Source organism: Homo sapiens, chromosome 6 (assembly GCF_000001405.40).
Source record: "Homo sapiens chromosome 6, GRCh38.p14 Primary Assembly".
NCBI lineage: Eukaryota > Metazoa > Chordata > Mammalia > Primates > Hominidae > Homo > Homo sapiens.
The window spans coordinates 118948496-118964581 of record NC_000006.12 but is presented as its reverse complement, the minus strand read 5'-3'; the positions used below and the strand labels follow the sequence as shown (position 1 = coordinate 118964581).

General features: G+C 35.2%; 1 protein-coding gene and 1 long non-coding RNA gene across 4 annotated transcripts in view; one reads left to right on the top strand and one right to left on the bottom strand.

The window, feature by feature from the left end:
* Positions 1-4819, top strand: part of FAM184A (family with sequence similarity 184 member A) — a 189366-nt gene extending 184547 nt beyond the window's left edge. For all 3 annotated transcript variants that reach the window (NM_001288576.2, NM_001100411.3, NM_024581.6), the window contains 2 exons: positions 2619-2821; positions 4398-4819. In NM_001288576.2, the coding sequence (NP_001275505.1) occupies positions 2619-2821; positions 4398-4479 (285 nt within the window). In that variant the 3' untranslated portion in view covers positions 4480-4819. The remainder of the gene's footprint in view (positions 1-2618; positions 2822-4397) is intronic.
* Positions 1-16086, bottom strand: part of LOC124901389 (uncharacterized) — a 96627-nt gene that overhangs the window by 66960 nt on the left and 13581 nt on the right. The window lies entirely within an intron of this gene.

Sequence of the window (16086 nt, the reverse complement as noted above, 5' to 3'; positions counted from 1 at the left end):
GATAAAGCTCCCAAAAAATGTTTTCTTCTATTTAATAATCTAGCACTAAAACTTATGAATTATTTATATGTTCATTTTAAGAATGAAACTGAATACTACTCATATTCCTTTAAATATATTTTACCAATATTATAAAACTTGATTCTACCTTTTTTTCATATTTCTGAAGAAAACTAACCTTCTGACTCTGCTTAAGACTATTTCTTGTTGTTTTCTTATTGTTCACAATCTTCTGCTTATGGTCCAGAAAGAGACTCCAGCCCTGGATACCCAACAGCTGTTCCTGGTTTAAGGCCTAACATCTTAATGGACCTTGGGTTGGACATGTATTTTGTTGCCTACCAATCGTCAGAGAAGGGCTTTACTTCTCTCAGCCTTCTGACCGTTCTTTTTGGTTTGGTTTGGTTTTTTGTTTTTGTTTTGGAGATGGGGTCTCACTGCGTTGCTCAGGCTGGTCTCAAACTCTTGGGCTCAAGCGATCCTCCTGCTTCCAGCTCCCGAGTGGATGGGATTGCAGGTGTATGCCACTTTGCCCAGCTTTATGACCGTTCTTAATTAAAATTGAGTATGACTTATTTTGATATTTGTTACTCTCTTGGGACAAAAAGAAGAGCCTTGAAATAGACATGGCCAAGTCTTATAAATCTTTGTACCCTAGCTTCCCATGGCTCCAATCATGTTTTGGGTATAGTAGGTATTCAGTAAATATTTGTTCAGTTGCAAAATTTCATCACATTCCCTATAAGCCACCACAAATTATTCTGTGAATAAAGGAAGTCATAAAGAATAAATGATTATATATATACATATATATATATATTGGCTTCATAGGAATTATGAATCTTATGGCAGAAATCAGTAGTAGAATAAATAAAAGTGATAGTTCCAAAGCTGTTTTTCAAATTCAGATTTTATTAAGTTTCACGTCATGCCTAATTTTTATTAGGACTTTACCCAGAAATTTTCCTTTCCTTTCACAGCTCGTAAAACTTCTCTATTAAGAACACTGAATCTATCCTTCCTTTACAAGTTAAAGTGTTCCAAACTTTAAACTTGAATGTTTTCTAAAATAGAATGACTGTAGTGGCATGTAGCTGTATCTCAGAGTCTAAAATACTGCCTGGCAGATAGAAAGCTCTGAGTAAATAATTGGTGAATGAATAATTATAATTAGTTTTAGTTTTTTAATTCATAATTTAGGGTGAAATAAGATTTTAATTATAAAGCAAGATTATGAGGTTTGTGGAAAAAAAGATATACTAAAAATACTCCTTTTCATTTATTTATTTTATTGGAATTAAATTTTTTAGCTGCAAAATGATTACTGTAGAACTTTACCAGTATTCTTTTGATTTCTTAAAATAGAAACCTTAAGTAGGTTTAATTATGCCCTCTGGTGACTAGAATAAGAAAATGCAAAAGATACATCTTTGTAAGAACTTTCAAACTACTTTTGACTCCTAATAGTGACTTTAGTTTTCACAAATAGTTCTGAGGAAGGTATTATTATTATTTTCTTTTTCTGGTTATGCTAAAATAGGATTTTCATCAGAGACTCTACAAGTCACAGAATATGACAGAGGAAAATGTTTAGACAATGAGATAAATAAAAATAAAAGTTCCATCTTGTATATTAATTGCATTTTTTCCCAAACTCGAGTTATTTCCCTAAAAAGCTTACAAATTTAATTGGTATACATCTAATTAGTAAAATATGAGAATATTCTAAATATCTAGTAACATGTTAATTTTTATTTCTCATAGCAAGATGATGATCATTGATTCTAGAGATGTGAATAAAATACTTTGAGACTAAAGTTAGTGAATTGCAAGCTGATAGATTTTGATAATCTGCAGTGGAATTTGTCTTTTTATCTCTTAATTTTAAAGACACATTAAAAAATCAGCTGATTACTATTGTTTTGTAACCTTTAAAGTTTAAAAAATATGAGCCAATTAATGATACTGCCAAGTAATATGGAAATTAGACTTAATTATGCAGATATAACTTTCTCTCTTCAGAAAGATAGATGTCACAGTGAATTTAAAACCAGATTATTTCTCTTAAGTCAGCTTTAGGTCTTTAGTAGAAATGTGCAATTTGTTTCAAACTACATTGCCAAGCATTTTCTCATTCCTTTTTTTTTTTCCAGGCAAGAACTGCCTCCCTTTGACAGATGGCTAAATTTCATGGACTCTCTTTTAAAATTATGTTTAACTTTACCCCTTCTCCTAATTTTAGCCTAAATCCATTTAACCTTCTATCTGCAAGACTTGCTCTCTCCCCTAATCCTTTTTCCCTTTTCTTCCCAAAAGGGTATTCTTTACCCCTTGGCACTCTTTTTACCTTCTCTCTCATTCCTCGTGAATGACTCCTAAATGTTTCTTCCTCATTCTTTCTGCCCTGGTAGCATGTCTGTCTTTGAGGATTCCATGTAGATAAAAAATACCTCCAAGGATTCCCAGACCACAGTTTGGGTAACACTGGTTAATTAACATTTTAATTTAACATAAAGCTTCCAAAATTTTCCCATGCCAAATTTCTATCTTCTACCATTCCTATTTTCTCATTTGTCCTCATGCAGGGACTATCCTCACATGTATTATTTTTAATGCAGCAAAAGAAGAAGAATGATAAATCACCAACAAACAGGTTTGTGAGTGTTCCCAATCTAAGTGCTCTGGAATCTGGTGGAGTGGGCAATGGACATCCTAACCGCCTGGATCCCATTCCTAATTCTCCAGTCCACGATATTGAGTTCAACAGCAGCAAACCACTTCCACAGCCAGTGCCACCTAAAGGGCCCAAGACATTTTTGAGGTGAGACCCGTCTCACCAATGTTTTTTTCTTTTCTTTTTTAACTTGAGAAATTTACCTTCTTACATTGCAGAAATCACTACTTTAAGAACAACCTAAGAAAAATTACTATGAAATATTTTCTTCAAAGTATATTTATCCCCTCTCTAGAGAACTTCCTTTTGACTGTGTTAAAAAGATTTTTTCTAATTTGTGGTCATCAGTCAATTTTCTAAGTACTTGAAGAGGTGTTAATGTAATTTATATCATTAGAATTTTAATATTATGCACAATTACTTTATTTTTAGTATTGTCACCAATTTTTAAATTAACAATCCATCCTTATTGTAGAACTTTAAAATAATTTTTTGTTTACTAAGTGGTTTTTGTTTTTTATATATGTTTATTTTTTTCCCTTTCTTGTTTACCAAGATTATTTATAAATATATATATATATATGCTTATTGTCAAAATAGAAACATACGTAAACTCTGGGAACTTAAATATACTTATGCAAAAACTAAATTTAGAAAAAATAAATAATTTTAAAAATTTCCATTCCAATTTTTTACCTTGCAGTTGTTGATTAAATGTATTAGCAAATTTTGAATGAAATGCAAATTTCATTAGAAATTTAGCCATTAGATAAAGTCAGAAAGTACTGTTGTTTTATGCTCATCTTACTATTACTGATTTTTTGCTGCTTTATGTTTTTTTTCTTATTCTTACTAAATCTTAGCAGTGTCACTAGTAATAGTCTTACAAAGTAGGCAGGTTTTTTTAGGCTAAGTGATTAGTGACATAGTTAATGATTAACAAAAAAAATAGCAAGAATGAAAATTAGTCAGATACACCTCTGAATTTGTCTCCTGCTAAATATTTTGTGTTGCTTATTTTCCCTTGTGCATGGGTATGTTCAGGTATCAGTAAGATGCATGTGCATGAGCTCAAGGAACATGACTACTGGAGTTTCCATTACACATTGTTGCGTGCCTTGTAATTTTCCCCAAAGACGGTAGGGATTCTTTTGTTTTCTTAAGTAGCCCAAAGAATCTTTAGTTAGAATTAAGAAAAGTATAAACTATATAACATCAATAACGGGGGAAATTATATTTTTAGTGTTCTCCCTTTCCTGGAGTATTTGCATAGGGAATTATGAAATGAAAATTTAATGTAAAATGCATATAGTAAAAAATACTAGTAGTTACTTTAGTTATATTTAAGGACACATCTGTACGATCAGCTAAAAGAGAAAAGGTGCTGAAAGAGAGGACCATTATTTTATTCTCTCGTTTCCCACAATTCTTACTGAATTTTTTATTCAAAGAAGGTGACATTTTTGCAGTTGTTTTTTGTTCTTTGTGATTGTTGTGATGTGGCTCCTCCTTAACTGACTTCATTTGAGCTGCTGATGCACTCTTATGCTCTCATGGAGTGGAGAACCGATTCTAGTATAGAGGGGGTAGCAAATCTTTAAAACACGACTTACAACATGGGGAACCCGTTGTGGTAATCTATGCTGATGTTTTATGTGCTTTTGCCTTCATTTTGCAAAATGACTTAATGCTGGGTTACATGTCTCTCTTTTTATGAATTCAGTCCTGCTCAGAGTGAAGCTTCTCCAGTGGCTTCTCCAGATCCCCAGCGCCAGGAGTGGTTTGCCCGGTACTTCACATTCTGAAAGAATTGTGTTGGCACAGCTCTGTATAGACTGTTACTAAGAGCATGACTTTATACAGATTGTTATGTAAATAGGCTTTCCTATGTCAAACACTGTGAATGAGAAAGTATTTGTCTCTCCAACTTGAAAATGCACTGTATTTCCTGTGATATTTATTGGAATCATTCTATAAGGTACTATATTATGTGTGTAATTATAACTGTTATTTTTATTTGAGATGGAAGAGTCTTTAACCTTTGTAATTACTGCATAATAAATTTTGTTAGAATCAAACAATGCTTTTTATTTTTTTCTACGTTTGCTTTAATTTTTAAATATTTTTTAATTCCAGGTAAGACTTGTCAACAAGTTTTACTGCATTATAATCATGTCATATCAAATTATTTGACTTCAGTAATCATAATAGAATCAGGATAGGGAAATAGAAACTCTTGTTCCAGTACAATGTGTAATTTTAACTAAATTGTTCTCTAAATTTACAAAGCTAGAATGAAAGTGCTTGTGTAAATTGTGGACTTTCAAGTGTATAAAATACTGTTGACTTTTAGGTGGTTTTTTTTTTTTCAGTTTTGATAGTTGAGATCTAGAACTTTAGTACAGTTAGTATCTATAATTAATACTATGTTTTATGGCCAAAAGTCACTGGGTAAAGAATAAATAGTCAATTTGATTTTAATTTGTCTTAAAGGCCAGTTTGATAGTTTTCTAAATTGGTGTAATTAATAGGGAGTGAGACATAGGGGTTTGGAGCTCAGGAAAAGAAAGACTGGGCTACAGATGTTTTGGAACATGGCATGTATGAGATAGAGAAATCCACAAGTGTGGATGAGAACAACAAGGAAGGGGGTTGAGGATAGAACTTTGGGAGAAACCAACATGTCAGAAACAGACAGGGCTTGAATGAGAATGAGAAGTAGAGTTACAGATCCAAAAAAGCATAGTGTCCTGGAAGAAGAAAGTTTCAGAGAGACCCAGCAGCCAGCCAACAATGTTAAATGCTATGGGTGTCAGAAAAGGGAAAAAATGAAAAGTGTCCATTGGCTTTGACAACTACAAGATGGTCTTAGCAAAAGCAGATTCAGGGTAACAGTGGCAACAAAAGCCAGATTCTAGGAAAGAAGGAAATGGAAGTCAAGGAAGTTGAGACAGTGAGTAAAAACTTCTCTTTGAAAAAAACTTAGTAATACAGGGAAGAGGAAAGAGAAAGTAAAGTCATAGACTGGGAAGGGTCAAGATGGGCTTTGTTTGTGTCTTTAGGAGACTTTATCATGCTTTCATGCTGGAGGACAGAGAGAGAAATTAAAAGGACAGGAGGAGAAGGGGATGAACCGCCCATAGAATACCTGAATCTTCTTCATAACATCCCTGACTGAGCTTTTATACTCCCAGTGATAGGAAACTCCTTTCTCTGAGGGTAGCACTGGCTGTGCCATCAAGTGTCTTAACCTCTGTGACTCAGTCTCCTGGGCTATATAATACATACTACCTTCCATCCTACCTTCCTAGAAGATAATATGAGATAGCTTATGAAAGGTCTTAGGAAAGGTATAAATTGCTACAGATGAGAAAATAGTTGTTGTCTTGAAAAGTAGAAGAGCAAATGTATTAGAAAACTGTAAAAGGATTATCAGGCATAATTGAGATCACAGACTATATATTTCTATTGAAACCCAGCAGAATGACTGTGGGTTTTGACCATCTTCAGCTACTAGCAGCAAGTATATACAAAGGGATATTTGGACTTACCAGGATTAGGATAGTGTTGGATAATAGAAGGAGAGAGGTAAAAGGGACCCAGGGTTTTTGCAGAGAAGTGATAATGTAAATATCATTATAACAGCCTGATTGATTACTTTTATGCTAGGATTTTAGAAGTAAAAGCACAGTGAGCAGATACTATTAATTGCATTACCTTAGATGTCAAATTGATTTTTACATATAGGTCAAGATGCTTAGTTCTTATCTCATTCTATTAATCCTTCATAACCAATTATACATAGGTATTAAATTTCACTAACACTGTATCTTAAAATATTTACCTTTTCATCATCATAAAACATTGAGTTTCTAACTCGTGGCTTTTCTCCAAACACTATGATTTTAAATCTGGAGTGAAGAGATAGGTCCTAAGAGGTAAACAGTAAAAAATATTTTCTTTGTATATACAGTACTCTGTACCGCAGCTCAAGCAGAAAGAGGGCATCTTGATGAGCTAAACCACAATTCGTTTGTTTTGCTGTGTCTTTTGTTACGTTGTAGAGAGTGTTAATGTGGATTAGAGGATGGGAAAGGAAAAATGTTAAATACAACATAGTTGGAAATACTTTATTCATGTCCACAGGAACCATATACAAAAGTTTGTCAAAAAGCAATACAAATTAAATATTTGGAAAGATATCACAATCAGATTTCTTAGTTAAGTATTCAGATTCCAAAACTGTGTTAATGATAAAAGTATATGAAAACATTTGAGAGCAATGTCTGGCTTTGGGTTCAGCTAAAAATTATCCATAGGCAGTCTCTTATTTATTTTCATAAACAAAGAACATATTCTATCTTTCTAACAAGATCAACAACATAATTTGAAACAGAGATATTCTTTGAAAATAATAAAATGCCTAATTTTTCTTTTTTTTTTTTTTTTTTAATTTTTGAGGCAGGGTTTCACTCTCGCCCAGGCTGGAGTGCAGTGGCATGATCACAGCTCACTTGCAGCCTTAACCTCCTGGGCCCAAATAATCCTCCCACCTCAGGGCCCTGAGTAGCTCAGACTAGAGGCATATGCCACTACACTCAGCTAATTTTTGTAGAGATGAGGTTTTGCCATGTTGCCGAGGTTGGTCTCGAACTCCTGAGCTCAAGCAATACTCCTTGGCCTCCCAAAGTACTGGGATTACAGGCATATGCCACTGCGTTTTCCTTTCATTTTATCACAAATGGTCTAACATTGTCACATGACATCATTGCGATACTGCATGATCGCATAAACCATATTTTGGTTTGAAGGTTACTACATGTTAACCACCACTGGTAATCCCAGGAATATTATCTCTGCAATTTTCTGAAGGTAGCAATATTTAATTTTAACAGTATAATTGTGATTTGCTTTTATTAGTAGTCAAAACCTGTTTGAACTAGACTACGGAGCACAGAAATAAACCTTCACATATGGCCAGATGACTTTCAACAAGGGTGAAAGGACCATTCAATTCGGAAAAGGCAGTCTTTTCAACAAATGGTGCTGGAAAAATGATATTTACACGCAAAAGAACGAAGTTGGACCCTCGCCTTGTAACACTATGTAGAAAAATTCAAAATGGAACAAAGACTTGAACATAAAAGCTAAAACTATACAACTTTTAGAAGTAAACATTGGATGACATTGGATTTGGTAATGATTTTGTAGATCTGAAACCAAAAGCAAGGCAACAAGCAAAAATAATTGGACTTCATGAAAATTTAAAGTTTTTGTGCATCAAAGGACACTATCAACAGAGTGAAAAGACACCCTAAAAGTGGGAGAAAATATTTGCAAAGCATATAACTGACAGGGGATTAATATCCCGGATACATAAAGAATTCCTGCCTGGGTGTGGCAGCTCACACGTGTAATCCCAACACTTCGGGAGGCTGAGACCAGAGTATCGCTTGAGGACAGGAGTTGGAGACCAGCCTGGGCAATATAGCAAGACCCCGTCTCTACAAATTTGTTTTTTAATTAGGCGGATGTGATGGTACACACTGGTTGTCTCAACTACTAGGGAGGCTGAGGCAGGAGAATCACTTGAGCCCAGGCGTCTGAGGCTGCAGTGAGCTATGATCATGTCACTGCACTCCAGCCTGGGTGACAGCGAGACCCTGTCTCTTAAAAAAAAAAACAGAATTTCTAAAACTCAACAAAATTCAAAATTGGGCAAAAGAATAGATATTTCTCCAAAGAAGAAACACAAATGGCCAATAAGCTCACAAAAAGATGCTCAGCATCACTAGTTATGATGAAAATGTAAGTCAAAATCACAATTAGAGAAGATTCTTCATTATAATTTATTAATTAGGAGGGCTTTCATAGAAAATAAGACAAAAGCAGAAAATAACAAATGTTGCTAAGGATATGGAGAAACTGGAGCCCTTGTGGGAATGTCAAATGGCAAAAACTGCCTGTAGAAAACAGGCAGTTCTTCAAAAAACTAAATAGAATAACCATATGATCCAGCAATTCTACTTCTAGGTATATACCCAAGAGCAGGGACTCAAACAGATACTTGTACACTAATGGTGCTAGCATCATTATTCACAAGAGACTAGAGGTGAAAACAACCCAAATGGCTGTCAGCAGATGAAAGGAAAAGCAGAATATGGTATAAACGTACATTGGAACGTCATTCAGCCTTAAAAAGAAATAAAATCCTGATATATGTTACAACATGAATGAACCTTGAAAATGTTATGCTAAATAAAATAAGCCAGACAAAAGGCCAAATGCTGTACGATTCCATTTACCTGAATAGGCAAATTCATAAAGATAGAAAGAAAAGTATGTGTTACCGAGGGTTGAGTTGGGAGGACAGGGGAGTTATGATTTGATGGATACAGCATTTCCGTTTGGAATTATTTTTTTAAAGTTCTGGAGATGGATAGTAGTGGTGTTGCACAACATTATCAATGAACTTAATGCCACTGAATTGGATACTTTAAATATGATTAAAATGGGAATTTAAAGTTATATGTATTTTACCACAATTTAAAAGGGCTAAGTAATGGGGTATTAGCGACTCTGCATTGGATTCTGAATAAATACAATACTTAAGTTATATTATAAATTGTTATATTTACAAGTTAAAGTGAAATCTTTCCTGTTTAAGATTCATTCCGTTTGCTTTTTTCTCCCTGCCATTTTCTGTATGAATGTTCTGCTATTTGGTACCTCAGCATATGTTTAAGTAGCAGTATCTGAACAGAAGGTGCTTGGAATACACGGAGAACAATAACCTAAGATTACCTCAGATGCCAGGGGAGTGTCATGTACAGACCAACTTATGGGTTCTATCTTCAGTATTACCAAGGCATTTATTTTTATTTATTTATTATTTTTTAGAGATGGGTTATTGGCCGTGTTGCCCAGGCTGGTCTGGGACTCCTGGGCTCATGTGATCCTCCTGCCTCAGCCTCCCAAGTAGCTGGGATTACAGGCACATACCACCATGCCTGACTCCAAGGCATTCACACTTATCTCCCAGTTTTTGAGGCTCTGTGAAGGCTTTTTTCATGCCTTCACACTGAATTATACATTCCTTCCTAGGTGCACCCATAGCACTTACTTAACAGCTATTTGTTTATTCAACATATTTATTGGGTGCCAGGTATTACTTAACGTGGTTGGGATAAATTGAACAAAACACATGTATCCCTGTCCTCATGGAACTCAGACTAGATGCAGCCACCATGCCCAGGCTACAGTGCCTGATTCCTACTAGGTTATTAGATTAATTGAATGAAACAGGTATGTATCTTTAACAGAAAAACTGATGCCATGTGTATGTGTCCACATGCATGCTTGTGTATGTGATTGTAGATAGATAAATTCCTTTAAATTTTAAGTTTATTACCATTTTATATTTAATGTATATGTATATACATGTGAAAAATTCATACACTGCTTTAATCAAAAAGGTTTACAAATGACGACACAGAAGACACTAAAAGTGTATATTCTTTATTGAAACTACCAATAGTTGTGGAAAATTAGGACTAATTGAAAGGAGAATACAAATGTGTAATTGAAGGCCAACATAACCAGGCTTCAACTTCAGTGTTTTCTCCATGCATCTTTGAGCTAGGGTGAAAGATGTATGGTTAGATGACCCTTATCAGAAAAGCGGAAGGATTTTTCAGGAGAAAAAGCTTTCCTAGCCTTGAATTCTAAAAGGAATTCCTCATTTAGGACTTTTTAATAGAAGACATTTAGATGATGTCATGATTGATATTCTTAATTATTTTTACAACAAAAGCTGCGGTTTCACAAAGCTGTTTCTTGAAGTAACCTTTGATAAAAAGGGAAATTACAGCATTTAAGAATAACTCAATGTAAGAGTCGGCAAAATGTGCCAGACTAGTAAGTAGTAGCTGTCTAGTGGCCTAATGTGATCCAAGGATAAAATTGAGAATAAAGAAATGAAAAGCCCCTTGGACAATCTTCCTTAAATGTCACTTCTCTTGGGCTTTTGGCTAACAGAGGTTGCAATCTGGCAAGTTATTAATAATAATACCTGTAATGCTGCTATTTTATATTTCTGGTGATAGAACCATATGGAAATAGTAGACGACATCAAATTATGAAATCAGAGTTAAGCTATGTTATTGCCATCTTCTCTGACCATTTCATTTCAAGCAAAATGAAAGTTTTCCTCAGAAAGCTGCTCTATAATAATTGAATCTATTTTAGTTCTAAAAAGCCCTCTTTGCTGTATTTCCAGAGTTCCACATCATAAATCAGGGCTGAACTAATTTTGGCTGGAACATTTTTAAGGCAGCTGTTGATATCATCTACCATGGCCAAAGAAGAGCCTAGTTATGCACCCCAAAGCATCATTGTAGAGCTGCATGACTTGCCGGTGTAAGATTTAGTTGCAAAATGTCCTTCCAGAAAACTGAAATTCAATTGCTGGGTGGCAATCTTATAAACCAATTATAGATTGTGAAAAAGTCACTGATGTTATTTTCGTTTAGTAACTTTATTGAATAACTAGTATGTACCAGTTACTATTGAAAATACATTTGTAATTTATGTTAAGCCACTTTTTTCTACTAATAATTTAAAAATAGGACCACAATTTATGCTCTAAAGAATGTTATCCACAGGAACAGAAAACCAAACACTGCATGTTCTCATTTATAATTGGGAGCTGAACAATGAGAACACATGGACACATGTTGGGGAACAACACACACTGAGGCCTGTCGGGGGTGGGGGGCATGAGGGAGAGCATCAGGAAGAATAGCTAATAGATGCCGGGTTTAATACGTAGGTGATGGGATGATCTATGCAGCAAACCACCATGGCACATGTTTACCTATGTAACAAACCTGCACATCCTGCACATGTACCCCAAAGTTGAAGGAACAAAAAGAGCCATTCAGATTGCACTCTTTTATGTAAGGTTTCTTTTGCTTAGTATAATGCATTTGAGATTCATCCAAATTGTTGCATGTATCAGTAGTTGGTTCCTCTTTCTTGCTGAGTAGTGGTTCACTGCAGATATGCCATGATTTGTATATCCATTTCCTTGTTGATAGACATTTGGGTTGTCTCTAATTTTTGATTCTTATGGATAAAGCTATGAACATTCATGTAAAAAAAAAAAGAATGTTGTCAGCAAATAGAGGAAATTCATCCTTCTATTGACTATGACAGCTAGGCACGCATCAGGTCTGATATCCATCCACAAAGATCAGTCTAGCAATCAGAATCAAATTTAAAGTGTTCTAGTAATTTAAAATGTTTATAATTTACTCACTTTTAGATGTTTAATAAAATGAGTTATGCAACAGGAGTTCCAGTTCCCAGTATTGAGTGGGTGGGTGGGTAGGTGTGTAGGCTCCATAAAATTACACATTTGGGGCTCCTGAGAATTAACAGGGATTTGTGCCCAGCCAGAATTAATTTAAACAAATAAGTGAAAAATCTCCATAATGAAAGCCATAAAATATTGGTGAAAGAAATTGAAGAGGACACACACACAAAAAAAGGAAAGATACTCCATTTTCATGGATGAGAAGACTAAATATTGTTAAAATATTCCTACTACCCAAAGCAACCTATGGATTCAATGCAATCAAAATACCTATGACATTCTTCACAGAAATAGGAAAAAAATCTTAAAATGTGTATGGAACCACAAAAGACCCAGAATAGCCAAAGTTATCCAGAGAAAAATGAACATAACTGGAGAAATCACATTACCTGACTTCAAATCATGCTACAGAGCTATAAGTAAACAAAACAGCATGGTACTGGCGTAAAAACAGACACATAGACGAACAGAACAGAATAGAGAATGCAGAAACAAACCCATACATCTCCAGTGAACGCACTTTCAACAAAATTGCCAAGAACATACATTGGGGAAAGGACAATCTCTTCAATAAATAATAGTGCTGGGAAAATGATATATGTATTCAGAAGAGTGAGACGAGACCCCTACCTCTCACCATATACAAAAATTAAATCAAAATGGATTAAGGACTTAAATCCAAGACCTCGAACTATAAAACTACTCCAAGAAAACTCTATCTCCATGAGTTTGTGAACACCAAAAATCTGAGACAGTCTCAGTTAATTTAGAAAGTTTATTTTGGCAAGGTTAAGGACGTGCACCTGTGACACAGCCTCAGGAGGTTCTGACGACATGTGCCCAAGGTGGTCAGAGCACAGTTTGACATGAGACATCAATCAACATATGCAAGATGAACATTGTTTCAGTTTGGAAAGGTGGGACAACTCAAAGCAAAAGCGGGAAGACTCAAAGTGGGGAGGGGGCTTCCAAATTATAGGTAGATACAAGAAGCAAATGGTTGCATTCTTTTGAGTTCCTGATGAGCCTCTCTAAAGGAGGCAATCAGATATGTATTTATCTCAGTGAGCAGGGGGGTGACTTTGAATAGAATGGGAAGCAGGTTGGCCCTAAGCAGTTCCCAGCTTGACTTTTCCCTTTAGCTTAGCAATTTGGGGGCCCTAAGATTTTCCTTTCACAAGTTCAATTGTTTTGATTTTTAGCTCCCACAAATATGTGAGAACTTGCAAAGTTTGTCTTTCTGTGCCTGGTTTATTTCATTTAATATAATGACCTCCAGTTCCATCCATGTTGTTGCAAATGACAGCAACACATTCTTTTTTATGGCTGAAGAGTACTCCATTGTGTATATGTACCCCATTTTTTTATCTATTCGTCTGTTGATAGACGCTTAGGTTGCTCATAAATCTTGGCTGTTGTAAATAGTGCTGCAACAAACATGGGAGTGCAGATATCCTTGCCATATTCTGATTCCCTTTCTTTTGGGTATATAGCTAGCAGTGGGATTGCTGGATCACATTTTAAATTTTGAGGAACCTCTAAGCTGTTCTCCATAGTAGTTGTACTCATTTACATTCCCACCAACAGTGTACAAGAGTTCACTTTTCACCATATCCTTACCAGTACTTATTATTGCCTGTCTTTTGGATGAAAGCCTTTTTTTTTTTTTCTTTTTGAGACAGAGTTTTGCTCTTGTCATCCAGGCTGGAGTGCCATGGCATGATCTTGGTTCACTGTAACTTCTGCCTCCTGGGTTCAAGTGATTCTCCTGCCTCAGCCTCCCGAGTAGCTGGGACTACAAGCGTGCACCACTACACCTGGCTAATTTTTTTGTATTTTTAGTAGAGACTTAGTAGAGATGGGGTTTCACCATGTTGGCCAGGCTGGTCTTGAACTCCTGACCTCAGGTGATCCACTGCCTCGGCCTCCTAAAGTGTTGGGATTACAGGCGTTGAGCCACCACGCCCAGCCGATAAAAGCCATTTTAACTGGGGTGAGATGATATCTTTGTTGTTTGATTTGCATTTCTCTAACGATCAGTGACGTTCAGCACCTTTTCATATGCCAGTTTGCCATTTGTCTATTCAGATCTTTTGCCCATCTTCTAATCGAATTATTAGATTTTTTTCCCCATTGAGTTTTTTTGGGCTTCTTATCTATTCTGGTTATTAATCTCTGATAGATGAATAGTATGCAAACATTTTTTCCTATTCTGTGGGATGGATCTTCACTTTATAGTTGATTGTTTACTTTGCTGTGCAGAAGTCTTTATTTTGATGTAATCCCATTTGTCCAATTTTGCTTTGATTGCCTCTGCTTGTGGGGTATTACTCAAAAAATCTTTGCCCACTCCAATGTCCTACAGAGTTTCTTCAATGTTTTCTTGGAGTAGTTTTATATTTCAAGGTCTTAGATTTAAGTCTTTAATCCATTTTGATTTAATTTTTGTATATGGTGAGAGGTAGTTGTCTAGTCTCATTCTTCTGAATATGTATATCATTTTTCCAGCACTATTATTTATTGAAGAGATTGTCCTTTCCTCAATGTATGTTCTTGGCAATTTTGTTGAAAATGAGTTCACTGGAGATGTATGGGTTTGTTTCTGCATGCTCTATTCTGGTCTATTAGTCTATGTGTCTGTTTTTATGCCAGTACCATGCTGTTTTGGTTACTTATAGCTCTGTAGTATGATTTGAAGTCAGGCAATGTGATTCCTCCAATTATGTTCTTTTTGCTCAGGATAACTTTGGCTATTCTGGGTCTTTTGCTTGGCTCCATACACATTTTAAGATTTTTTTTTTCTATTTCTGTGAAGAATGTCATAAGTATTTTGATTGGAATTGCAATGAATCCATAGGTTGCTTTGGGTAGTAGGAATATTTTAACAATATTTAGTCTTCCCATCCATGAAAACGGAATATCTTTCCTTTTGTGTGTGTGTGTGTCCTCTTCAATTTCTTTCACCAATGTTTTATGGCTTTCATTACAGAGATATTTCACTTATTTGCTTAGGTTAATTCCTAGGAATTTAATTTTCCTTGTAGCTATTGTAAATGGGCTTAATTTCTTGATTCCTTTTCAGATTGTTTGCTTTTGGCACATAGAAATGCTACTGATTTTTTATTTGATTTTGTATCCTGCAACTTTACTGAATTTGTTTATCAGTTTTACTAGTTTTTTGTTGGGGTCTTTAGGTTTTTCCAAATATAAGATCATATCTGCAAACAAGGATAATTTGCCTTCTTTATTTCCAATTTGGATGCCCTTTATTTCTTTCTCTTGTCTGATTGCTCTAGCTAGGGCTTTCAGTACTATGTTGGATAACAGTGGTGACAATGGGCATCTTTGTCATGTTCTAGGTCTTAAAGGAAAGGCTTTTTTCAGTTTTTCCCAATTCAGTATGATACTAGCTGTGGGTCTGTTGTATGTGGATTTTATGTTGAGGTGGATGTTCCTTCTATACCCAACTTTTTGAGGGTTTTTCTTATAAAGGAATGCTGAATTTTATCAAATGCTTTTTCAGTATCAATTGAAATGTTCATATAGTTTTTGTCTTCCATTCTGCTGATATAATGTATCACACTGAATTTGGTTTACTAGTATGTCCCTTCTATGACAATTTTGCTGATGGTTTTAATCATAAAGGGATGCTGGATTTTATCAAATGTTTTTTCTGCATCTGTTGAGATAATCACATGATATTTGTTTTTAATTCTGTTTATGTGATGTATCACATTTATTGACTTGTGTATGTTAAAACATCCCTGCATCCCTGGTATGAAACCCACTTGATTATGCTGTATTATCGTTTTAATATGCTGTTGGAATTGGTTAGCTAGTATTTTGTTGAGGATTTTTGCATCTGTGTCCATCAGGGATTTTGGTCTGTAGTTTTCTTTCTTCTTTTCTTTTTCTTTCTTTTTTTTTTTTTTTTTTTGAGACAGAGTCTTGCTCTGTCGCCCAGGCTGGAGTGCAGTGGCACAATCTCGGCTCACTGCAAGCTCTGCCTCCCGGGTTCACACCATTCTCCTGCCTC